General features: G+C 43.7%; 2 protein-coding genes and 1 long non-coding RNA gene across 5 annotated transcripts in view; 1 reads left to right on the top strand and 2 right to left on the bottom strand.

Annotated features, from left to right (window-relative positions):
- Positions 1-774: 774 nt before the first annotated feature.
- FAM228A (family with sequence similarity 228 member A) lies at positions 775-17,420 on the bottom strand. The gene is made up of 6 exons (NM_001040710.3): positions 17,299-17,420; positions 16,900-17,006; positions 14,603-14,671; positions 9,101-9,188; positions 8,828-8,978; positions 775-2,061 (listed from the first exon to the last, which is right to left on the bottom strand). Exons 2-6 carry the CDS (start codon positions 16,990-16,992, stop codon positions 1,842-1,844), a joined length of 621 nt encoding a protein of 206 aa, NP_001035800.1. The 5' UTR covers positions 16,993-17,006; positions 17,299-17,420; the 3' UTR covers positions 775-1,841.
- Positions 17,421-17,676: 256 nt separating this feature from the next.
- On the top strand, positions 17,677-26,473 carry LOC105374328 (uncharacterized). Its single transcript, XR_939833.4, has 4 exons — positions 17,677-17,965; positions 24,416-24,653; positions 25,910-26,031; positions 26,434-26,473. It is a non-coding gene; the product is annotated as an uncharacterized LOC105374328 (long non-coding RNA).
- FAM228B (family with sequence similarity 228 member B) overlaps positions 22,835-26,623 on the bottom strand; it is a 92,806-nt gene continuing 89,017 nt past the window's right edge. For 2 of the 3 annotated variants that reach the window (NM_001291328.2, NM_001145710.2), the window contains exons 10-11: positions 24,790-24,846; positions 22,835-23,117 (exon numbers count right to left, since the gene is read on the bottom strand). In NM_001291328.2, coding sequence (NP_001278257.1) covers positions 24,804-24,846 — 43 coding nt within the window. In that variant the 3' untranslated portion in view covers positions 22,835-23,117; positions 24,790-24,803. The remainder of the gene's footprint in view (positions 23,118-24,789; positions 24,847-26,623) is intronic. The other variant, NR_111929.2, reaches the window with a different exon arrangement.

Raw genomic sequence — 26,623 nt, 5'->3', positions numbered from 1 at the left:
CAGGACCCCTTTCCTGTAACAATATGTGGTATCTAAAGATGTCAAACCCATCCAGAGTAGAAGGGTGGATACCAGAGTCAGGGCGTGGGGGCAGTGAGGTGACAGGTGTTGGTCAAAGGGTACAAACTTTCTGTGGTAAGTACTGAGGCAGGAGAACAGGGTCTGGAGACAGGGACAACAGCAAGGTCTGAGAAAACAGCAAGGTCTGGGCGCAGGAAATCCAAGGCCAATTCGAGCTGCCTTCCCAAAGCTGGGTCAAAAGGAAAACACCTGGGTCTGGGGGCAGGGAACCTGAGGCCAATTAACACACACTTCTGAAAGCGGAACCAAACAGAAAACCCCATCTCCCCAAGCCAAGCAGCAAAAGATCAAAGGCTACTCTCCCTATAACGTCTTAGATGGAAAGGGAGAGTGCCCTGGATTAGCTGCAGCCAACACAGGGACCATCCCTTCATCTGCGTAGAGCGCCAATTCACCTCAGCCTTTAATTAGCCAGGGACCAAATCCTTCATCCAGATAAGGGGTAGCAGATAAGAACCTCAAACAGGGAACTTAACACCCTTGAGCCCTTGCTGGGTCTGCTCCCACCCTGCAGAGCTTTCTGTCTTGAATAAATCTCTGCTTTCGCTGCTTCGCTCCCGCGTTTCATTCCTCTGCTACTCTGTGTGTTTTGGTCAATTCTTTGTTCAAAATGCCAAGGACCTGAACAACTCATAGTGAAGACCCTCCATGAGTAACAGTAGGTTCTAGAGGCCTAATGGACAACACAGATACTACAGTTACTAATAACATATATTTGCAGTTTGCTCAGAGAGTAGATTGTGAGTATTCTCACCACACACACGAAAACAGTAAATGTGAGCTGGTGGGTATGTCAACAAGCTTGACTGTGGCAAACATTTCACAATGAATACCTATAGCAAATCATCACGTTGTACATCTTGAATATTTGAAAAATACATGGAATGAGGAGCTCCCTGTGCTCTCAGATATAATTATGCTCAGAGGAAACTGCTGAAGAGTCACAGGTAACTTACCACAGACGGAGAATCCCTTACTCCCTGGAGAGACCGGGGACAGCGATGGGACTGAGCAGGAGCTGGGTCACAAAATACCTATCCAGGCTCACAGGCTGGAAAGCAGCAGCAGTCCCCCATCCTGTGTGTGTGGTGGTGAGGGTGGGAGTGACGCTGTCAGGTCCTGAGCTGAGCGGTGGCCCACCAAGCCCCCTAGGCCTTCCCTGGGAGGGTCCTGCGCCTCAGGCCTCAGGGCACAGGGCGTGGCGGAGAGAATGGAAGGGGAAATAGACCAGGAGCTGAAAACTGTGTCAAATGAACCATGAGCTCTGGATAAGAAATCCATACTCAGAAAATTCCTACATATAAAAATACCTTTTAAATATCAAAAAATCTCATCTTGCCCTAATTTTTTGGTATAAATTTCATTTCAAAAACTTCCCACCAGTTGTGTGTGGACTAAGGAGAACACCATCTTTGGTGCAGTTTGGATGGAGTAAGTGGAAAATGGTAGGAAAGTGGCAGAAGGGCAAAGGCCCGGGCGAAGGCGCTGAAGAAATCTCAGGGGGAAAAGCCCCTGTGGCCAGGTTGGCCCTCACCTCGGAAGGACAGGATGTCTCCGGAAAGTGGGGTCCAGGTCCCACATTTACCACTTGTCTGAGTTTCTTCATGCAAGGCTTCCCCGCCCGAGGGGCCCTGTCAGAGCTGCAGTGCTGAGCCTGAGGCCACCGCCATTTCTCCCTCCTCCTCTTCACACCCTTCTTCTTGGGCCATGCCTCCTCCGCCCTTGGGTGCCTGTCTGACAGGGAGGGCTGTGGCGGTGGCTCATTCTGGAACCAGTATGTGCTGCTCGTGGGTGCTGCAAAGCCCTGCATGCCAGCCCCGCCCCAGGCCTCTGCTCACCAGACCCTTTCTTTCACCCACTTTGTTCTTCTGGCTGAGCTTTGAGGAAAGGAACTGCCTTTCAAACGCAGCCTGACTTAGGTCGGCCGTCTTTTTCTCTTTTCTTTTCTGTTTCTTGTCTGCATAGATGAGCTTTTCAGGACTGTGAAGAAAAGCAGAAAAAATTGTCTCGATTCAGCACAGATGGAATTGTACCATCAAATAGTTTCCGAAGATTAATGCAATGAACTCAATCGTCACTTTTGAGAAGGAACGACTGACCAGCCATCACTGGTGGCTGTCCCTCAATCTGCCTGCCCTGTCCGTACCTCTGCTGGCCCAATTCCTAGGGAGGTGGTGACTTGGGGACCCTTCCCCAGCCATGGCTGAGGCACCAGGTCCAGAGCTTCAATCCCTATGGCTGTAGTTGGGACAAAGGGGCTTCCAGGCAGCCTCTGAGTGCTCAAACCAGAAAGTCAGGCAGAACGGCGCCTCCACTTGCCAGCACTCACAGGAAAGCACAGAAAGCCCATGTGCAAAGAAAGAGAAACAGAGCAGGTTCACGAAGAGAAGTAATGGTGAGTGCCACATAGCCCCAAAGAGGCAGGGACCAGCCTCCCAGTCAGTCCCCCGAGCGCCTGGCTCCAGCCTCCCAGTCCGTCCCCCGAGCAGCCTGGCTCCCTTCCTGGCTTGGCTTCCATGACATACCAATGCTCTCTAACATATCGAGCCCCCTCCCGCCTTTCCTTTGAGAAGGATTCTGGCTTTTGTCATCAAACTGTCTCTGCCTCACCTCGCCACGTGCTCTCAAGTCCTTTTCTTACTTCATCAAATAGCCACACGAGGCATCCTCTGGGTGTGTCCTCCCGGAGGAATTTCACCAGGGCTGCCACCATTTCTGCCCCAGGAAGCCTAGCCCTATTGAGGGAAATAAGCCTTCTCTTTTCTTCCTCCATTAATTCATTCAACAACCACTTATTCATGATCTACTATGCTCCAGCTAAGTGCTGGGACCACCAAGATAGTAAGATGCAGTCCCTGCCCTCAAGGGGCTTGCTGATGGAGGAAAGGGCCAGTAAGGGGCTGGAGAGTTCTGTGTCCCTGTGATAACTGCCCTCTTGCCTGCACTGGAATGGCCAGTGACAGACAGAGGGAGCAAAGGCAGGCAACAGCCTGGCAGGTCAGGGAGTTAAGAATGTGCTGACTTGACCCAGAGGTTTTCATGGTTAATCAATCTTCCTTTTATTTAAGTTGATGGGACTTCTGTGATGAGGCCGGAAAGGGTGGTAGGGCCCAGATGGTGCCTCATGTGCCATGTTGAGGGCCTGGGCTTTGTCATAAGGGGAATGGCACTGAAGGGTTTCCAGTGGAGGAGTGCTGATCACTTTAAAAAGACCACTCTGGCTGCTGGGCGAAAAATGGATTGGAGGAGACCAGCCTGAAGGAAGAATACCAGCGGAGGAGCCAGAGGGGAGATGACGCCAACAAAGCAACATGAAGCCTTTGTCTTGTTGTGGGGGTGGGGGGGCTATGTAATTACTGGTGTTTAAATAAAAATGTTTGTTAAAATGATAAAGGAACCATAAAACCAGAAATAATACATAAAACTTCCAAATCACTAGGGTAAGCATAAACAAAGTAGCACTGTTTATTCCAACAAAACTCAGGATGGGGAATGAAAACAAAATATTGAGAGTGTATAACAGACCTCCTGTTTGTGTAGAATATAGAAGTCTGCACAGGCTAAAAGTCCTGCTGAAATAAATAGAGAAGAAAAAGCAGAAAATTTACTACCAAAATTAAGAATTTTAAAATCACTGGACAGCTTTAAAAAGAATTCCAGAGAGGCGAGAGCCTTCAGGAATGAGTTGACAATCTCCAACTCTTACCTTCCTCTGTGGGAGCATTTCAAGTACCAGGTCACCAATATTAAGTACCAAGGTAGAGACTGATTTCTCTGTGCTTCTAGCATCTTTGGTGGATTTTTGTCTTTGGGTCTGGTTGATGTCCTGACAGGTGGGTATTTAACCTTGTTCTCAACATCACCCTCCCGCTAAGAGGCAAGTCAAGCAATGTGCTTGGTTTCTCAATGGAGGACAGAAACTCTCCAGGCCCCGAGTACAGACAGCATTTCCCAAAACCTATTTGAAAAAGAATCAAGGAGGGGTGGGGAGGGGGAAGGGAGAGCATTAGGAAAAATAGCTAATGCATGCTGGGCTTAATACTTAGATGATGGGTTGATCACCTAGGCAAACATTTACCTGTGTAACAAACCTGCACAATCTGCACATGTATGCCAGCTCTAAAAATAAAAATTAAAAAAATCAAATAGAAATTCTAGATCTATAACTGAAAATAATAATTCAAAGGATGGGTTTAACAACAAACAGACACAACAGAAGAGATAATAAAATATCTGGAACCAAACATGGAAAGACAAAAAGGATAGAAAATATACAAAAATGATCAGAGACAGGGGATCAGTGAGAAAATCTAAAATATGTTTAACTGGAGTACCCAAAAGAGAGGAGAGGAGAATATGGCAGAGGGAACAAAGAGAAAATAACTGAAAACTTCCTAGAACTAACTAAAGACAACCTACAGATTCAAGAAGACCCATGAATTCCAAGTAGGATAAATAAAAAGAAATCCACATCTAGAAACATCACATAAAACTACAAAAAATCAAAGACAATGAGAAAATCATAAAAGCATCCAGGGGAAAAGACAGATTACCTTCAAAGGAACAACAGTAAGACTAGCAAGTGACTTCTCAATTGAAAGAGTAAAAGACAACAAGATATATGTTGAAAGAAAATAACTGCCAACCTAACATTCTTAATCCTGAAAACATCCTTTAAGAATGAAGGTGAAGTCCGAAAAGGCTAAATGTTGTATGATTCCAACCATATGACATTCTGTAAAAGGCAAAACAATGGATACAGCTAAAAAAAAAATCACTGGTTGCTAGGGGTTAGTGGGGAAGAGAGATGAATGGGCAGAGACAATTTTTAGGACAGTGAAACTATTCTGTGTGACACTGGAACAGAATGATGGATACATGTCATTGTACATTTGTCAAAACGCATAGAATGTACAACATCAAGAGTGAACCCTAATGTAAACTATGAACTTTGGGTGATAATGTCAATGTAGTTTGTACCACTGTGGTGCAGGATGTCAACAGTGGAGGAGGTTGTGTTTGTTGGGGGACAGGAGGTGTACGAGAACTCTCTAGGTACTTTCCACTCACGTCTGCTGTGAACATAAAATTTGTTACGAAAAATAAAGTTAAGTTGAAAAAAGGAGGGAAATAAAGATGTCTTAAAGCAAACAGATTTTTCATGAGCAGATGCACATTTATGAAAACTGTAAACAATATTTCTGTTGTTTATTTGTTGTGAGGTACATGGTAGAGTATAAATGACATGACATGAGACCTAGAATTTTCCCACAAAACTGTGAGCACAAAAGGGAAAGTGGGGTAAAGTGAGAGAGAGAGAGAAAGGCAAAATGTTGATGGCTGCTGAACCTGGGTGATAGGTACATAGGAATGTGTTGCACTCTCTACATTCAGTGCATTTGAAAATGTTTGTAATAAAATATTTTAAAAATGAGTCAGTGTAATTTTCCACAGGCGGGGCACAGAGGCTCACATCTGTAAATCCCCCAGTACTCTGGGAAGCCAAGGTGAGCGGATCACTTGAGGTCAGGAGTTTGAGACCAGCCTGACCAACGTGAAACCCCTTCTCTACTAAAAATATAAAAATTAGCCAGGTGTGGTGGTGGGCGCCTATAATCCCAGCTACTCAGGAGGCTGAGGCAGGAGAATCACTTGAACTTGAGAGGCAGAGGGTGCAGTGAGCCAAGATCATGCCATTGCACTCCAGCCTGGGTAACAGAGCAAGACTATGTCTCAAAAAATAAAATAAAATAAAATAAAAATGTCCACATTAACAAAGGAGAAAAAATTAAATATCAATAAATGCATAAAAATTAATATATGTCAAAATCTATTATCTAAAAAAAACTGATAGCAAACTAAGAAAATGAACTTCCTTAACTTACTAATGGAAATCTAAAAATAATGTAAAACACAAAAAACACCAAAAGCTTTCCCTTTGAGTTTAAGAAGAATACAATGAAGCCAATTTTCACCACTTCAACTTTGTGCCAGAGATCTTAACTGGTACTGTAAGGTAAGGAAAAGAAATAAAAGGTATAAGGAATGGAAAACAAGAAATAAAATTCTCTTTATTAGAAGATAATATTGTGGGCTGGGCAGAGTGGCTCACACCTGTAATCCCAGTACTTTGGGAGGCCGAGGCAGGTGGATCACCTGAGGTCAGGAGTTCGAGACCAGCCTGGCCAACATGGTGAAACCTCATCTCTACTAAAAATACAAAAATTAGCCGGGTGTGGTGGTGCACACCTGTAATCCCAGCTACTCAGGAGGTTGAGGCGGAGGTTGTAGTGAGCCAAGATTATGCCACTGCACTCCAGCCTGGGTGACAGAGCGAGACTCCATCTCAAAAAAATAAAAAGAATATTGTGTACATAGAAAATCCAAAAGACTCTATAGATGAAATGTCAGAATTCATAATAAAGTTTAGCAAGGTTGCCAAATACAAATTCAACATATGAAATCGTTTTTATTTCTATACATTACAATTACCTAGAAAATGAAATTATATATAATAATAAAATAGGAATAAGTAAGAATAAATCTAAACAAAGATCTACAAGACCTTTAGACAGTTTCTTATCCATAGTACTTACTGACATTTGGGGCTGAGTAATTCTTTGTTGTAGGATATTTGGCTGCATCCCTGCCCTATGTCCAGTAGATGCCTGTAGAACCCCATGCCCCTGACAACCAGAAATGTCTCCAAACATTGCCAGCTTCTTAATCAATTTGATTAAGAACCACTCCTTTACATAAAATAAGACCCACACTAATGGAGAGATATATACCATGTTCATGGATTAGAGGACTCAAAATTGTAAAGATGTCAATTCTCCCCAAATTGATCTACAGATTCAATGCAATCCCAATCAAAATCCCAAGTATTAGGTTGGTGTAAAAGTAATTGTGGTTTTTGCCATTACTTTTTTATTTGTTTGTATGTGTGTATGTCTACATGAAACTTGAGCTAATTATAAAATATATTGGTGTATTTGTTCTATCAGGTATCAAAACTCATTAAAAAGCTATAGTAAACAAATAGGCTAGGATAGAGAACCTGGAAATTAAGTATACATAACAGCAGTGAATTTGTATAAAAGTCTACACTGCAGAACAGCAGGGAAATGATATTTTCAATAAATGGTACTGAGGAAAATGGGTATCATTAAAGGGAAAAAATTCAATTGGGCCCCACATAAAATACATACAAAAAGCAATTCTAACTGTATTATAAGCCTAAATTTGAAAAGCAAAACTATAAAAGCAGGCCAGGCACGGTGGCTCACACCTGTAATCCCAGCACTTTGGGAGGCCAAGGCAGGTGGATCACCTGAGGTCAAGAGATCAAGACCATCCTGGCCAACATGGTGAAACGCCATCTCTACTAAAGATACAAAAATCAGCTGGGTGTGGTGGCGCACACCTGTAGTCCCAGCTACTCAGGAGGCTGAGGCAGGAGAATCACTTGAACCCGGGAGGCAGAGGTTGCAGTGAGCCAAGATTGTGCCACTGTACTCCAGCCTGACGATAGAATGAGACTCCATCTCAAAAAAAAAAAAAAAGGCCATACAGCTTTTGGAAAAGACATCTTAAAATAATGTATAAAAAGCACTAGTTATAAATATTTGACTATATCAAAATTAAGAGATTGCACCACTGCATTCCAGCCTGGACGACAGAGCGAGACTCAGACTCAAAAATAAATAAATAAATAAATAACAAATGTGGATTGTGGAAACGAAAATACCAAACTGGATTGTTCATAATAGCCAAAATATGGAAACAACCCAAATGTCCACAACAGTGGATTGCTTAAATGATGGCATAGTCAAATATAATGGAATATAATCAGAAAACAGAAGTTAATACACTGGAGCTATATGCAACAACAGAAAGGAATCTGAAAAACATAATGGTGAGCAAAAGCAGTCACACAATGAACTGTACATGTACAAACCCTCAACAGATGAATTTTATGGTATGTAAGCTGTATCTTTTTTTTTTTTTTTTTGACAGTGTCTCACTCTGTTGCCCAGGCTGGAGTGCAGTGGCATGATCTCGACTCACTGCAACTTCTGCTTCCCGAGTTCAAGCGATTCTCCTGCCTCAGTCTCCCGAGTAGCTGGGATTATAGGCATCTGCCATGATGCCCAGCTAATTTTTGTATTTTTAGTAGAGATGGAGTTTCACCATGTTGGCCAGGCTAGTCTCAAACTCCTGACCTCAGGTGGTCCACCTGCCTCGGCCTCCCAAAGTGCTGGGATTACAGGTGTGAGCCACCGTGCCCGGCCTGTAAACTATATCTTAATAAAGATGTTTTTTAAAGAGTCAGTCATAAAAGAATAAATGCTTTCAGGTTCTGTTTATATGAAATTCAAAAATACGCAAGATAAACTATATTGTTTAAGGATACAAAGTTAGTTGATAACACCACAGGGAGAGCAAGGAGGTGAACACTTATAAAGTGAAGGGAGCTCTGGGGCAGGGAGAAGACTGTCTCGGGAGGGGGCAGGCTCCCTTTCTTGAAATGGCTGGTGATTCCACAGGACTGACTCAGGGACTCGGTAAGCTGTTTATGTTTTATTCTGTCCTCTACATATATTTCATAATACAAAGGTGATGATAATAATAATAAAACTATAAACTACTAAAAGACAAAAGTGTGACTAGTTACAAGAGCTTCAGTAGGAAATAAAGTAAGTTGCAAGTTAAACAAATATTTGTTTGTTCTGCTCATCTGTACCTGTATTTGTAAGTTTTACTCCTGGCTCTTGCAGAGGCTTTATGCCACTCTTTTGGAATCACACAGTGTGAAGTGAAAGTGAAGTAGGGCGAGCTGGCATGCAGCCTGGCCTTCTCTATTTCTTCAAGTTCTTTTATGGAATGTCGTTTTCCTACAGGAAGATAAAAAATCGAAATCAACACTCTTCAAGAACTCCAGTTGCTCTTGAAGGAGTGAGAAATCACTGGACAATTAGCAGTCTCAAAAAAATGAGGCCCAGTGATCACAAAGCACCTGTCTCACACTGAAGACCAGTTCTCCTCTCTTCATCCACCTCTTGCTGTCTTTGAAACAGAGGATCAACAAATGGTGGGACTGTAACCTACAAGAGAAATGAGACTCTTTGAGTACCAGAGTGCAGTCTGTATTAAGCTTTTAAAATGTGTCCCACATAAAGATGGGAACAATAGACCCTGAGGACTACAAGAGTGGGAAGGGCAGGAGGGGGCGAGGGTTGAAAAACGACCTATTCGGGACTCTGCTTACTACCAGGGTGACAGATTCAATTGCACCCCAACCTCAGCACCCCAACCTCGTACCCCAATATACCCGTGTAACAAACCTGTATGTGTACCCCCGAATCTAAAAGTTGAAATTTAAATAAATAAAATCTGACCTAAACATTCAAGTATGCCCTTACTGTATACCAAAGCAGCTGAGAAGAAAGGCCCCAGAATGTGCCAATCTACACCTCAGATGAGGATGTCGTACAGAGCCTTAAATGGCTGAACTGAGGGAGGGAGGGCCGCCCAGATAGAAGAGACGCACTTCTGTTAAGCGCTCTACTGTGTCATTGCATCAGCCAGTAAATATTTGTGTTGCCATTGTGTGCCACATCCAGGCTAGATCCTGTCTTCAAGGATCTCCTGGTCTAGACAGCCTAGTCATCCAGTGACAATCCAGTCCTGAGAGGGGCCCTCTCAGGATCCTGTAGGAGCAGGGGCAGTGCTAACTTAGCCTGGGAGGACGCATGCCTCCTAGGGAAGCTGACAACTGGTCCGTAAGGGCCTGTGAGAACAGAGGGTCAGGTGACCAGAGCTATGAGTTTGTGTCAAAGGGTAGGGACATACAGAAGTATTTTTTCTTCCCGCTCCTGATAAGCCTTAGACAGAGGGACTATTTTTCCCCTCCATTTCCCCCACAGCACTCATCCCAGTGCTGGACTGAAGTGCTAGGTAAACAATTACTGAATAAACTAGGCAACATAATATGTACTGCCTCCAGCACCCCAGATGCTGACATTCTACCCAGAACCAGAAGAATCTGTTCATCTTCATATGACTGACCTGGCTTGGTTTTCTGGGAGAAGCAAAAGAAACCACTTCCATCTTCAGAGCCATACATATTTTTTAAAAAATTAACAGTCATATCAGGTGGCTACTTCTGCTGCATGGGAGCGAAAAACTGAAACCTACATTTCTCCATTTTAACTCCTGTATTGGCAGTTTAAAAATCTGAAGACTCATTATAACCTCAAGTATTAGCTCTCCCGGGCAGCCTGTGCTGACATCCTTCCTGTATCTCCAGTAGAAAGGAGTGTTCCCTCCCACGTCCCATAATCCCTGTGCTGACTTCTGTGACACTCGCCACGCTCCACTGCACAAGCTGTCCACACCTCTCTCTCTCCTTCTTGTGCTTCAAGTTTGCTGAATGTGAGTAAATGAATGAACAAATGATCACACGTATCCATGCCTTGTGCACAGTGTAAATTCCACAGGAGTCTAAATTACTTTGAGTTCCTATTCTAAAACTCAAAGGAAATGCTTTTGTAGATTTTTTTTTAATAAATAGACAATAACTACAAGACTTCTAAAATGACTAGGTTTTCCCCCACTCCAGAGCTCCTAAGAATAAAAAACCAAAGAAACCTGCTCTACCTTTCCATAATTTGGTTTCTTTTTCTTCATATAAAAGGATCGTAGGCCGGGCACAGTGGCTCACACCTGTGATCCCAGCACTTTGGGAAGCCAAGGCAGGTAAATCACCTGAGGTCAGGAGCTCAAGACCAGCCTGACCAACATGGCGAAACCCCATCTCTACTAAAAATACAAACAATTAGCCAGGCATGGTGGCACATGCCTGTAATCCCAGCTACCTGGCAGGCTAAGGCAGGAGAACTGCTTGAACCCCGGAGGCAGAAGTTGCAGTAAGCCAAGATCACACCATTGTACTCCAGCTTGGGCAACAAGAGCGAAACTCTGTCTCAAAGAAAAATTTAAAAAAATTTAAAAAGGGATTGTATACTTCAGGATTATAATGGTCTTCACATATAATTTCCTTCAGATATAAAATATACTTAAGGGAAAAATCACTAGATACAAACTGTTTTGCAAGATTCATATTATAAAAGCCAAATACTGCATTTCATTTTTATATAAAAGCATAGCTTCAAAGGGTTGGAAGAAACTGCTGAAGTAGTTTGGACTGCAATGAGACTCCACCACCTTCTGGGAGAAGTAATCATCTAGCTTTAGTCTAAAGTCATCCATGGGCCTTTCAGAACTTTCTGCTCCATGAGGCAGGTACTTTTTTTGGTAATTTTAACCTCAAGAAAGTCCGTCCTTAGGTTGAGTTTAAATCTGCCTTGTAACTTGCAGGTACAGACACTAGTTCTACACATCTAATTCATCGGCTAATGTCGGCCTTTAAAATACTTAAAAGGTTCATTCCCCCTCGTGTCATTTCCTTGGGCCAAATACCCCACCTCTTTCCAGTTTTCTTCCTATAAAGTGGTGTCAAGACTCAACTCTTTTCTAAAGGTTTTGCAACTGATGAGGGTCCCTTCAACAGTGTGACATCAGGAATGACAGGTTAAGGACAGGATAGACCAAGACTCTGATGCTTCCCACTCTAAGCACAGCCTCTCTTGCCTGAGAGATGTATGTTTTCTTGGAATCCAGCTCATATGGTTGATTCACAACGACTTTACTGACATTTAAAATTACTTGGACTTCAACACATGCCATTTCTAAGATCTTCCTCCCTATACCCATGAAATCACATTTCTGGACACAAATATAAGACTTTGCACTTTGGAGATCTGGATTCAATCTTGAGCTCTGCCCCTTAAGAGTGTGTAGGAAAAAGTATTTAAGGTAAATATTCAGAAATTGTGCTCAGTAAATATACTTAAATGTTCTAATATTTCAGCTAACCTACTCTAGGGTCTCACTGTCACTCAGGATGGACTGCAGTGACACGATCATGGCTCACTGCAACCTCCGCCTCCCAGGCTCAAGTGATCCTCCCACCTCAACCTCCCAAGTAGCTGGGACTACAAGTGCACAGAACCACACCTGGGCTTTTTTTTTTTTTGTACAGACGGGTTTTTGCCATGTTGCCCAGGCTGGTCTTGAACTCCTGGACTCAAGCAATCCATCCACCTCAGCCTCCCAAAGTGCTGGGATTACAGGGGTGACCCACTGCACCCAGCCACTACTCTAGATATCTACTAGATATGTGGGGGTAAGAAAGATCCAGTAGTGCACACCTAAAGCTAACAGATTTGTATTTGATACTGCAAATAGAGAGACCCAAATTCTGAGAGCTGACCTCAAAATAAAAAAAAATCTCTAAATTAAGAAACCAAATTTTTGTAAAGCCAAACTGTAGAACAGAGTATAGAAACTGTTAGTCCTAATACCTACTGGTTGGCTAAGTCAGCCATGCAATACCATTCTCCTCTGCCCACTTCCTACTAGAGAGATGAGAAAGCCACAGTGGCTTTCCAGGCCCTGCTTATGGCTAGGACTTGCTTCATGACCCAGTCCTGGCCAATGAGACCTAAGGGAAAGTTGGCTAGGGGCCTCTGGGGACTCTTTTTGCTTCCTGCAAAGGAGTAGGGTAAGAGAAGAGGCCCCTGGCACCATTCCTTACCCCTTCCTCCTGCCCTGAATGAAGACCTAATGTCTGGAGCTATAAGCAACCATCAGGCAAATGTGAGAATGATGGGGATAAACTGAAAATACTAAGGATAGCAGAACAGAATAGGAAAAAACCTGACATTGTTATGCTGTCAGAACCCACCACGAGACCACCTACCTCTTAATTTCTTGTGAAGTAAATGCCCTTATGGTTTAAGCCACAGTAACTCCATTAACGTCTACATAAAAATCATTCCTGATAAATCTAGTTCCAAATCAACACTCCTATCCCCTCCAACCTCAGGCTTAAGAATGCAATACGTGTGTTACAATTCAATGAACTCATCTTAAATATAAAAATAAGCTGGAAACTATTTGTATAACCAGTGAAATTGTTAGACCAACTCTTCAAATTATACTCTATTTGAAAAATAAAACATCAGTACCATTTTATGTCTGTGCTGTAAATAATATTCAACATTCTCGTTTCATTTTAAGCTCTTTATATGAAATTACTTTTTCCATAATTCTCTGCTGAAGAGGCTCTGCAACATTTTCAACCCATTTTTTATGTAACATCTCTTTTCTTCTTTCCTTAAAAGTATCCACATGCTGAAAATACATATCCAATCTCTAGTGAAGTGATACAAAAAAGGAAAATAAATTATAAAGAAATGTTTCATTTACTATCATTCGAGTAAGGGGGAAAAAAAAATTTGTTCTCTCTACTAAGCTCTCAGCCACATTCGGGTTGCAAAGTCCCAGTATAAGATAACTGAAGCACAGAATAAAGTGCAGTAAGAGAAGCTGGGAACACAGAGCAGAAGAACTCATATAAACTTCTAAACCATAACTGTGCCTTCAGATTTAACCACATCTAACTCATGAATCAGATTAAGCTATTCCTAACTCATGAAACTCTTGTTTCTTTTTCAGGATTTCCAAGCATTCCCTGGTCACCCACTCTGTGTCTAGCCTTCACCATCAGGAAAGTCTGGGACAAAACTGGTAGAGTAGAAAGCGCACTAGACTTTGACACCTCTCTCTGGCCTGTGAAAGAGAGGTAATCCCATCTACCTCTTTGGATGCTTAAATGGGAATTTATGTGCACTTTCTTTACACATTGTAAATCACAATTCAAATGTCAAAGTTTTATTCTTTTTTGTTTAAAAGACAGGGTCTCACTCTGTCACCCAGGCTGGAGTATAGTGGCATGATCACAGTTCACTACAGCCCCAACCTCCTGAGCTCAAGCAATCCTCCTGCCTCAGCCTCCTGAGTAGCTGGGACTACAGGCGTGTGCCACCATGTCTGGCTAATTTTTTAATTTTTTTGTAGTGACAGGGCCTCACTATGTTGCCCAGGCTGGTCTCAAACTCTCAAACTCCTGGTTTCAAGCAATACTCTTGCTTCAGCCTCCCAAAGTATTATTATAACTCCGTCTCTCTCATTGAAATTAAATGCCCCTTAAGCTAATTTCGTAGTGACTATCAGTTACTGATTGGTCATAACCCTTAAAAGCTTATTTTGTTTCTAGTGGTTTTACTGCAATGTGGGAACATATGAGAAAGAGGCAAGTGTGAGTAGGAAAGAATTTCTATTCGGTACCAGGACGAAGAGAAGGAGCAATTGGAACAACTTCTCAGATCCCTTCAGGACAGATCCAAGTGGGATCAGGGACCTTTTAGTGATCCTGCAAGAAGGGGGCATGGCCTCAGATGCATGTAGTACAAACAAGTAAATTAGAGGATCCTCATTACTCCTGCAAAATGAGTCTCTTGGATCACGGTGACATAAACTCTTGGCCATGTTGTTCTGCACACTCTTGCTCCCCTAGAACATATGTAGAATGCAGCGTGGAGCCAACTCTTACCTTCACAATGGAATTTTCTTTAAATAATATTGCACATACTGCTTCATCAATGTCTTCTCTAGCTAATACCTAAAATTACAGAATTGAATATTAAGATGTGAATCCTGAAGAAACAAACTACAATGACAAAACTCAGTGTACTTTACCAATAGTTTTAGTGTAAATCTTGAGGCTTATTTGGTAACATAAAAATATGGAAAATTTCTAAACCCATTCTCTGTGAACTTGTCAGCCAGGCTCGAGTGATTAATTCCAAGTCAATCTTATTTCATCCAATAAATCCCTACTCATTTTTCAGCACCCCCCCACCCAGACTATTTAAAAAAAATCCCTGATAGCATATTATTAAATTACGTTTTAAAGCACTAAAAAGCTTACTAAAGGAATCCTCTTTTCAGGCATTCAGTAGGTGTTTTTTGTTTGCTTGCTTTTTGAGACAAAGTCTGGCTGTCACCCAGGCTGCAGGGCAGTGGTATAATCCTGGCTCACTGTAACCTCCGCCCTCCAGGTTCAAGTGATTCTCCTGCCTCAGCCTCCCAAGTAGCTGGGATTACAGGCACATGACACCACAGCTGGCTAATTTCTGTGTTTTTAGTAGAGACAGAGTTTCACCATGTTGGCCAGGCTGCTCTCGAACTCCTGACCTCAAGTGATCCACCCACCTTGGCCTCCCAAAGTGCTGAGATTATAGGCGTGAGCCACCCCACCCAGCTAGTAGGTGTGTCTTAAAGGGCCCTTGAAGTTTCCCGCCTTTTGCTAGATCTCTTCATAAGTCAAAAACCACAGAAAGTTCCCTTTAGTTCAACTGGTCCAGAATCTCAGAGCTAATTAGTGAGAGCTCATGGCCTCCAAACAACATCATCCACATCTAGGGACTTGCTATTTCCATTATGAGTTTGGGTAAAGCTGATGCATTTTAATCCCCACTTTAGGGCTTTTTCAGTTGGATCACTATGCACTAATCTCTAGCTTTTATTCTTATAGGACTAAGTGTGAACAAATGAAAAGGCAATGAAAATCCAGTATCTGGAAGAGATAAATTGTTACATTAAAAATTATTGCTGATGAAAAATGATACAGGTTCTTAGAACTGTTATTCAATTTCTGATTCTTCTTTCTATTCTGCCACACTGAATGCATCACAACAAACTAAACCCCAAACTCAAATACCAAATCTGTGAATAAGAGAAATCTCAAAAAAGGAAAGTTGTTCTTTTTACCCACATATTTAATAGCTTCACATGAGATCTAAAATGATATTCAAACAGCTGCCCAGGTCTTCCTAAAATAAAGCTCTCTTTGTAATAGGAACAGGATCTTGCTTTAAAGCCTTCTCAGACTTATTTTAAGAAGACAGGCCAGGCAGGGTGGCTCACGCCTGTAATCCTAGTGCTCTGAAGGCCCAGGCAGGAGAATTACTTGAGCCCAGGAGTCTGAGGTTACAGAGAGCTATGATTGGGCCACTGCACCCCAGCCTGGGCTACAGAGCAAGAACCTGTCTCTAAAATATTTTTTTTAATTAAAATGAAGATGGCAACTGAAAAAGTATGTAAAACAATTAAACATGTATCCTGACACTACAATAAAAATTTAGAATCTATTTATTTATTTGGAGAAGCAGAACATATTGACAAGCATCTTGGGAAGTCACCTTCTTAAAGAACATCCTAGTAAGATTGTTAACAAATGTTATGTACATTCTTGAGTCAGATTCTCAAATAATCTTTGTTTAAAGAAATTAAACAGTTTTTGTCTTTGATGGCTCTTCTTTGTGATTTTGCCAGGAAATATAAGGAAAAGGTCATGATTTGCAGCAGCACTTTTCGAAATCCACAGCTTTCTGTGCACACACATAGAAAAATTAAGCATCTCACTGCTCCGACCGCCACTAGGGCAAAAGGGGAAAAAGAAAGGAAATTTCCAAGAGTTTTTCACAGCGAGGCAAATCATAGGATGACACAAAATAATGAAACTTTTTGAGAAAATCATTACCAGACGCTGAAGTATGCAGAATTGACTGGCAAGCCCAGACCTGGCTTCTGCCGGGGAGCTGGGGTGGCTGCCTTCACCCGCCCGGCTGCCCGCCCCCGTCGGTGCGCCAGCCCCCAGGCTGGCGACTGGAAACACTCTTGGCCACACTCTCGGCCAAATCTGAGCCCGAACATTCCCCTTCAACGCCTGCTTTAAAGCAGGCACTGTCACAATCCTGAGAACAGAAGCGAAATTAAGATAAACAGTTCCCAAACTCGAGGGGTCCCCCCGCCAAAATGACGTCTCAAAACGCCACGTTATCTCACCTCCATTAAAGAAACGGACTCGGGCTCCGGCCATTCTCTTAACTTTTCTGGCCTGAAATGTTCATCATAACTCGCAGTTTTGGTGGCAGCCATGGACAGGAGAATCCCTGAGGGATGAAAAGGTAAACTGAGGCTGAGGAAGACGGTTACCGTTGAGAGCCAGGCCTTTGGGCTCAGGGAGTGTTCAAATCCCGCTCGGCCCCTTTCTAAAAGCTGAGCCGAGTCACCCAACAAACTGGGATCCTTGGCGCCCTAGGCGCTTCAACAGGCCCGGCTACCCACTCCCGTGTCGTCCTCGGGCCAAAGCGGGCCTTTCCTCCGGGGCGCGCCCCCCTGGCCCTGCCACAGCCCTCCCTGGGCTCCGCGACCCCCAGGCCCGTAGGCCTCCCCGGGCCCCACCTCAGGCCAGCTCCGGGGGAAGTCGCAGGCCCCGCGGCTCCGTCCCGGTAGGGCTCCCCCGAGGCCGCGTCCTGGAGCGGCGACGGAGAAAGGAGCCCGCGGGCCCGAGCGTCGGGGCGCATGCGCCACGCCAGATCCCGGGGTGCTGCCCCGACGCCAGCTGGACGGTGACGCCGAAGTCCCGGGAAAAGGAAGGGCGCCATTTGATTTCACAGCAAACGGGCGGTGACACCGACTTCCCGGGAAAGGGAAAGGCGCCATTTGATTTCACAGAAAACGGAAACGCAGTGATGAAGCCCAGCGCCTGGCCCTCGCCCTCCCTCCACGTCTGTCTCGGGGGCGCCCTCCCCTCGCAGGAGCCAGGGCACGCGGGCCTTCAACCGCCGAGGCCCCCGCCGCCCTTCTGGACTTTTATCGAGGCATGTACACTAATACGAAAGAGAATTTGCCATTTACCTGTAAGATTGAGGGTGACAACGTAAGAGGAATGGTTTTAAGTGACGCGTCCGGCTCCTTACTCCCACTGAAGGGTGAAGGTGCCACAGGTGGACCTGGTTTGGATTCTGATGTGAAGAAACCGACTTCAAAACATTTGGGCCAATCAGGAAAATGCGAAAACTCTGACTACAAATTTAATGATATCTAGAATTATTGTTAATAGTTTAAGGTATGGTACATTATCACAACCAAGATTTGACATAGCTACAGTCAAGATACAGGATATTATCTTGTATCAGGTGTATCAGGACACCACTACAAGGATTACTCTGTTTTCAGCCAATGTTTCTTCAAGTATGTTTTTTAGTCCTGCCTGTTTCTCTCGTCCTTCTGGGATTCTGATGACATGAATATTATTATAGCCCCCACAGCCACTTAAGCCTCTCTTCTTCCCTCCACCCCCAGTCTATTTTCTCATTTTTTAAGATTGGGTAATTTTTATTGTTCTATCTTCCAGCTCACTGATTCTTTCCTCCATCTTCTCTATTCTACTGTTGAGCTTAACTGCTGAGCTTTTTATTTTGGCTATTGTAATTTTCAGTTCTACAATTTTCATCTGGTTCTTCTTTGTATCTCCTGTTTGCTCAGGATTTTTATTTTTTCATTTGCTTCAAGTGTATCCATATTTGCTCATTGAAGCAGTTTTCTCATAGCAACTTTAAAAGTCTGTGAGCTTATTCTAACATCTTTGTCATCTCAGTGCTGGTCTCTATTGAAGTCTGAACATTTTCAGTTTATATTATGAGACTCTGGATCTTATTTAAACTTTCTGTTTTAGCTGGCTTTCTCCAACACCAATCTAACAGGGTTAATGAGGTTACCACCTCATTACTGCCAGATGGAGATAGGAATCCAGGTGCCCCAGTTGGCCTTCATTGACACTTGAGGGGCCAAAGTTCCTCATTACTGCTGTGTAGACCATGATTTAGAGATTCTAGTCAGGCTAACTGAGAGACCATTCAGCAAATTACTTCCTTATATGGTATAATCTTCTCGAGAAAAGGAGCTGAATCTATCTCATCTTTACATCTTTCTCATAACATGGGACCATCTATGACTGACCCAAATAGCAGGCGAACAGAAAATTCCTGTTGAGTAGACGACATACACAGAAAAGTATAATATACTGATGGCTTAAACTACATTAAGTATAAGCAAAAGGTGATACAAAATAGGATTTTTAATTTCTACCTAGCTTCTTCCTTACTTCATTTGAAAATAAAAGTTTCCCTGATTTACTGAATCAACTTATTTCAATCTCATATGATTTAAAAGCTTACCTGAGCATTTGTCTCTTTACTTGATGTTCCCTGGCAATGTCGCCTTTTTTACATGGTGAAAATAACTGTTAAGGATTTGAAAGATTCTCCTTTCAATAGGTAGTGCTTCACTGAGTCTTCACCTAGGCTCTTGCTGCAGGCTCTGTGTCTCTTTCTACATACCACAACTAAGTCAGTTAATCTCATAGTATTAAAATCTTTTGTTACTGTTTCTCCCACTAACTTTAGGGCAGAGAGCCTATGTTGGCTCATCCTTATATCCCCAGAACCTGGCAGAGCACCTGGGAAAAACAGGCACTTAAATACTTACTAAGTGAATGATGAATAAATAAATGAATGAGACATAATCCCAACATCTACACAAAATGAAATTTCAATGTCAACATATGAAAAAAACATTTAAGAGACTGAAGACTTGTCTACCAGGAGAGCATCAAGCCTTTTGAAGCTTTGCAGTCGGCCTCTGGTTGCCATTTTGGCATAGCTAGTATTTTTAGTCATTTATAACTGTAATAGAGAAAAGCATTTCTATCCAAAAAGTCTCTTTAAATCAAAAAGTCTAGGCCAGTCATGGTGGCTCATGCATGTAATCCCAGCACTTTGGGAGGCCGAGGTAGGAGGATCGCTTGAGGCCAGGTGTTCAAGACCAGCCTGGGCAACACAATGGGACCGCGTCTCTACAAAACGTTTAAAAATTAGCTGGGCATGGTGGCAGGCACCTGTAGTCCCAGCTACTCAGGAAGCTGAGGTGGGAGGATCACTTGAGTCCGGGAGGTTGAGGCTGAAGCAAGCCATGCTTGTATCCACTCCAGCTGGGAGACAGAACAAGACCTTGTCCCAGAAAACAAAACAAAAGTCTCAATGTTTGTGAAGTGTACATGTTAACCTTAACCATAAGAACAAATTTGCACCTAGATTTTTATTTTAAAAGTATGATATAGATTTAGGCTACCTGTTATAAAGAAAACTTAAGAAATTTCTAAATTTACTTGAACGAAGGAAAGGCTATGGAGAAGGCAGTAATGACTGATTCATGGAACAGAACTGATTTACCGAGACTTTTCTCCTTCTATAAAAAGTCAAGGTGAAGTAACAATATCCCTTTAATGCTGATGTGATTTCTAGAAGTCTGTTTTGACTGATGAAGTAATATAAAAGGGAAAAAATGCCAAGAACTAGAGTATTATAAAATCCTTCAGGGTCTCCCCATAAATTCCAAACGCTTTAGCATGACCTGTAAGATTCCTGCCTGTCTTTTTGGGCTCAGCTTTCTTCAGTGATTCCTGGCCTCCTTGCTCCACATGGTGGATTAGAGATGCCTGCGTGGTCCCATCTCTGGCAAATCCCTGACTCCACTCACAGAGGTAGACTTTTTTTTTTTTTTTTTGAGATGGCGTCTCTTGCTCTATTGCCCAGGCTGGAGTGCAGTGGCGCAATCTTGGCTTACTGCAGCCTCCCCGTCCTGGGTTCAAGCGATTCTCCCGCCTCAGCTTTTCTGAGTAGCTAGGCTTGCAGGTGCCCCCCTACCATGCCCAGCTAATTTTTGTATTTTTAGTAGAGATGGGCTTTTGCCATTTTGGTCAGGCTGGTCTCAAACTCCTAACCTCAGGTGATCCACCCTCCTCGGCCTCCCAAAGTGCTGGGATTACAGGCGTGAGCCACTTCACCTGGCCAGAGGTGGACTCGATGGCAGCACCTCCCTGTTCTTCTCTGTGGCTAATTGGTCAAGGAGTGTACACCTGACCCAAGTCTAGGATCAGATTCTCCTGTCTTTCTTCTAGGATTATAGACGTCTAACCAAAACAGAGACTTGGAAAGGTGTTGTGAGTCACGTTCATGACAACAGCCTAGAAGGGTCTGAGATGCCTGCTGCTCAGGGGCCAGTGCTGTCAAGGTTCCTGCCATTCCTGTGGAATTCAGTTTTTTCTCAGGGTTCTGTAAGATGCTTTGGCACTCTTTCAATGAAATTTTTTTTTTTAATCCCAACCACTAGACCACCAGGGACCATTTGTGCTTATGTTAGCTCTGGTTAGCTTGTTACTTGCAATACAAATGATCTCAAATAATACAGAAATAGTACAAGGCTTCAGAGGAAATGTGAGATATTTGGAATTGGTATTCGTGTCAAAGTGCAGGGAAAGGAAAGGCATCTTCTCTTCACCATGTGGAATGAGCAACTATATTTGTGATACGACATCTGGGATTTGCTTCAAAGTCATCCAGTTAGGGTTGAGAAGTAGGTATGCATATACACAAAACAAGACTGGACATGAGGTAATCAGTATTGAAGCTGGATGTCAGAAACATAAGGATTCATTATACAATTATAATTATTTTTTCTGTAATTCTCTGAAATTGTGCATAGTATAAAGTTTTAAAAATCTAGTTTTCAGCCAGGTGCAGTGGCTCATGCTTGTAATCCCAGCACTTTGGGAGGCTGAGGCGGGTGGATCGCTTGAGCCCAGGAGTTCAAGATCAGCCTGGGCAACATGGTGAGACCTCATCTCTACAAAAAATACAAAAAATTAGCCAGGCATGATGGCGTACACCTGTAGTCGTAGCTACTCGGGAGGCTGAAAGGCGGAGAATTGCTTGAACCTGGGAGGTCCAGCCTGCAGTGAGCCATGATCATGCCACTGCACTCCAGCCTGGGCAACAGAACGAGACCCTGTTTCAAAAAAAAAAAAAAAGAAAGAAAGAAAGAAAATCTAGTTTCACTTAGAACCATATATTGATTAGGGGTGAGATGTTGGGAGACTAGATAACTGTCAGGGTAGAATAATTTAAAGAGGATGAGGAATATGGAATGAGAGAAAAATGGATAATTTAAAGCAAGATAATATAAAGCTCAGATGCCAGAATGTGCAAGGCATTAAAATATAGGGCCACTATTTTTAATAAATCTTATTCCATCTGTGGCCCTCAAGTTCATAAATTGATCCTGTAGGTTGCTGAATTGCAATTCCAGATGGATTAACATTGCTGCCAGTCTTTTATATGAAATCTAGGGCATTGACTAGGAAAGAGGGGGATCTTGGAATTATATATATTTGGGGAACAGACAGAACTGAAGAAGTCAGACTCCCCCAAGTCTTTTGAAAAGGTTACCATGGTGTCCCTTTGCCTAAGGAAAACAGAATTCCACTCTTCTATGCTCTGTGTCCTACTGTGTCTTCCTGTGACCAAGATTCAAACTCAACATGAGCCAGAGGGCAATGTTTAGAATCAGCAAGTGAGTAATTATACCCTAAATGAATTTTTTTTTTTTTAAGATGGAGTCTTGCCCTGTCACCCAGGCTAGAGTGCAGTGGTGCAATCTCGGCTCACTACAGCCTCCACCTCCAGGGTTCAAGCAATTCTCATGCCTCAGCCTCCCAAGTAGCTGGGATTACAGGTATGTGCCATCACACCTGGCTAATTTTTGTATTTTTAGTGGAGACAGGGTTTTGCCACGTTGGCCAGGTTGGTCTCGAACTCCTGACCTCAAGACAGGTGTTCAGATGGAGGCCGAGGCGGGTGGATCGCTTGAGCCCAGGAGTTCGAGATCAGCCTGGGCAACATGCCTCAGCCTCCCCAAAGTGCTGGGATTACAGGCATGACCCACCTCACCTGGCCAACCCCAAATGAATTTTTAAATTTTCTAAAGAATGTTGGGAAAACCTGGGGAGGATATGTGGATGTGGCCATGAAGTGTGCATGACCAAAGGGAGCATACCTTAATTGAGGAACAAGCCAAATATACAGAGATGGACACTTAGTGAGGGAGCTGTAATTATTTTTATTGGTTCGTTCAGCAATATTTCTTAACTTCTGGGGAAAATACATGGTATTGCCATTTCTTAATTATCACAGACACTGAACTCAAAAATTAAAGGAAGTTCGTTGCAGATGCTTTTTTTTTAGAGACAGGACAATTCTTGAGTGCCGTCCTTGGCCTTCACCCTGATTCCTGTGAGCAGATGACTTCCTCTGAAGCAGCCTGATTTTGTGTATCCTTTCACCAATCAAGGATCAGGGTGTGTGCTCCTTGGTTGCTGAAACCTTTTGAAGGTGACAAAAGGGAAGAGTTGAGTGTGGTATGGGGATGAGGGGCTTACGAGAGCAGAAAGCGTTCCCCAGCTAAGCTGAGCTGATCCCCCTGAAGCCTGTCCTGCCAGAGCCGAGTGACTCATCTCTCAGGCAGGGTCTCCACCTAGGCCTCCTGCCTCAGCCTTTCCTCGCGCTGTCTGGAGTCAGAAGCACTGAGAGATTCAGGGACATGGTCAAATAGATGGGGTGGATCACTGATGTGTGACATGATTTGAGGGAACCCCTGTGGTCTCAGCTTTCAGATGTCAACATGTTTGGAGTACTAATTTCCACTTGGATTGTTGTGATTTAGAAAATACTAGGTTCCTTTCTTCCCTTTTCTCTTCAAACCTCTAAATTCTCTATTCTGTGCCTCGCGATCAGCTGATGATCTCACTTGAGAAAATGAGTAAACAGAAGGAAACAATCTTCCTTTGCAAAATCCACTGAGCTAGTTTGACCTATATCCATGTACTCAGCCTTCCCTCTTCATACAATGGATAGAGTGTCCTGTCCACCTGAGTCCAGGGTGCTGCCTCCTCACCTGTGGAAGGACTCTGCCCTTCTATTATACCCCCTCTCTCTCCAGCATCATCAAATCTCCCTCTCTATGGGAGCATTCCCATCAGGAAACATACATGTTATAATATCAATATCGCTGATAAAAATATTCCCTTACCTTACCTTCTCCAGCCACTTTATAGCAAAACCCCACAAAAGCATTGCTTATTCTGTCTCCACTTCCTCACCCCAATTCTCTCCTGAACCCACTCTAATCAGCTTTCATTTCAGCTGCTCCACTTAACCTCTCTGATGAAAATCAGCAGTTAGGCCTATATCTCCCCAGTCCTCATTTTACCTCCCTCTCAGCAGCATTGCCACATGGCTGGGCATGCCCTCTTTTCTGAAACCCTTTCTCTACTGGGCCTCTGCAGCAGCACATACTTCTGCTTTGCTTCCTTCCATACCAACCTCTCGCTCCATGAATGTTCCTTCACCAGCTCTGCCTCCTTGCCCCAACCTCTAAATCTTGGCGTTCCGCAGGACTAACCCTCGGCCTTCTTCTCTTTGACACTCACCCCCAGGTGATTGCATGATTTCACATAGCATCTATATGAGGATGACTCTCAAAAACCTGTCTCCACCCCCAGTCTCCCCTGAACTCCAGACCGGTACATCCACCTGCCTACTGTATATCTCCTCTTGGGTATAGGATGAGCATCTACAAAGATACTGAAATGGATCTAATTTTAGTCTCAGTATCTCTTTAGGTGATAGAGGCTATGTTCCTAAGTGAAGAATGAAGTAGTGGCAGTTCCATCAGATGCTTAGAGCCAGAGACAGTCCTAAGCAAACACCTGGAAAAGAAATCCGGTGAGAAATTCCAAGCAATAGGAATTTTCTCTGAAGATCACTTGGAAGTGCCCCATGAGAAAAACCACTAGCTTCAAACCCCTGCCAAGCCCAGAGAATGCCTTACACTGAAATAGATCATCATAAAATTAATAGGTAAGAACTTTCCTACCCACCCATTATTTCTCTTTCCTCCCTCCCACTGTGGACTCTGAAGATATCAGAAATCACAGTGGCAAGAAACAGGGGTAAGGAATAGGAGAGTAAGAAGGGAAAGAGAGAAGACATCTACCTCCCTCTTCTTTCTTATAGCTCCAGCTTCAGCAGCCCCAAACGCGGGGAGGGAGACCTTAAATGAAGATTGAAGCTTTGGTCATTATGTTATACGAGACTGGCCATATTAGTTACTGAACAGACTGTCTTCATAACCAGAGGCTGTTTATTATCTGAGAATGCCCAGGGCAGGAGAAGAACCAACCCCAACAGAACAGGTTTAAATGGACAGTGAGGGGAAGAGTTCATTTGCTCTAAAATCACACCCTACAAATCCTCCTCCGGTATTATAATGATTGCAATGGAATCAGCCCCAAACACGGTTATTCCTCACTTCTGCACTTCTCTCCCTGCAAACCTGCTTTCCCCCTAGACCTCCCTAGGTCAGTGACTAGAACCACAATCCACCCAGGCCCCTCCGCACTGATTTCTCGCTTTCACCCACTTCCACGCTAACAAGGGAGCTCTGCCAGCTCCTCTCCACCCACGCTGGAGCCTGGAGCCCTCGCTCTCACCTGGCCTGGAACCCTCAACTGCCTTGACGGCCCTGCCTCGGCTCCAGCATCAGCAGTTGCTTATGCGGCAGCCATGTTCTTTGTACAATGCTGATTAGATATGATTTCCCCCCTACTCCAGACCTCCGCACAGCTTCCCCTCACACTTTGAATTTTATTCTAACTCCCTTTCCCGGCCTGTAACCCCAACCTGCCTGGCTCCTGCCTCTGCTCCAGCCTCACCTCCCGCCCTCTCTCAGCACTCACTATCTTCAGCCTCCCCACTTTTTCTTGCTGTTTCCTGAACACACCAGCCTCACTCCCATCTCAGGCTTTTGCCTGGGCCCATCCATCTGCGCAACACTCTTTCCCCAGATCTCTCCACGCCTCACTCCCTGGGTTCCTCAGCCTGCTGCACAAACGTCATCTCAGAGGAGAAGCCTCCTCTGACTTCTCCACCTAAAACAGTCCTCTTCATTCGTCCCCCACTCTCCCACCCCACCCCCTCTACCTGCTTTGTTTTCCTTATTACTAACTCACGTGATGTTATGTGTTTATTTGGTTGACTACTGTCTATTTCCCCATCAAAATGTAAGCTCCAGGAAATCGGAGCCGTCTCTGTTTTGTTTCCCACTGTGTCTCCAGCCCCTCAAACACTGCCTGGCTCAGAGTTGGCGCTTGTTAAAATTTTGAGGAAGCAAGCAAGCAAGCACATGGGAGGATACCAAAACATGGCAGTAAAAGGAGCTAAACACACAAAAGAAAAGGTTAGTAAATTTTCATGAATGAGTAAAAAAAGTAGCACCCCTGTCCTTTAAGGGTAGGAGTGGGGAAATGGAGAGACAGTCAGAAAGGAAGATGGCAAGATTGAAGGATACTCAGAAGACAGGCCATTCACGTGCTGATTTCTAACTGGGAGTGGGGAGGAAGGCCATGACTTCTCGAATACACTCCTAAGAGGCTGACTCTGGACAAGAGAACTGGAGGGAGAAGCTCCACCTAGACCCAGAAATGGTAGGCTGGGCTATCTCAGTCAAATGGCCACCAAGTTTAACCATCATTACCTTAGGATGAGAAATCTATGTTCTGTAAACACCTATATCTATCTATCTATCTATATATATGTGAATACATACATATATATATATATATATTTTTTTTTTTTTTAGACAGAGTTCTGCTCTTGTTGCCCAAGCTGGAGTGCAGTGGCGTGATCTCAGCTCACCGCAACCTCCGCCTTCCAGATTCAAGCGATTCTCCTGCCTCAGCCTCCTGAGTAGCTGGAATTACAGGACTCCATCACCATGCCCGGCTAACTTTGTATTTTTCAGTAGAGACGGGGTTTCTCCATGTTGATCA

The sequence above is a fragment of the Homo sapiens genome, chromosome 2 (assembly GCF_000001405.40).
Source record: "Homo sapiens chromosome 2, GRCh38.p14 Primary Assembly".
NCBI lineage: Eukaryota > Metazoa > Chordata > Mammalia > Primates > Hominidae > Homo > Homo sapiens.
Note: the sequence above shows the minus strand (reverse complement) of the source record. Positions and strands in the feature narration are given on the sequence as shown.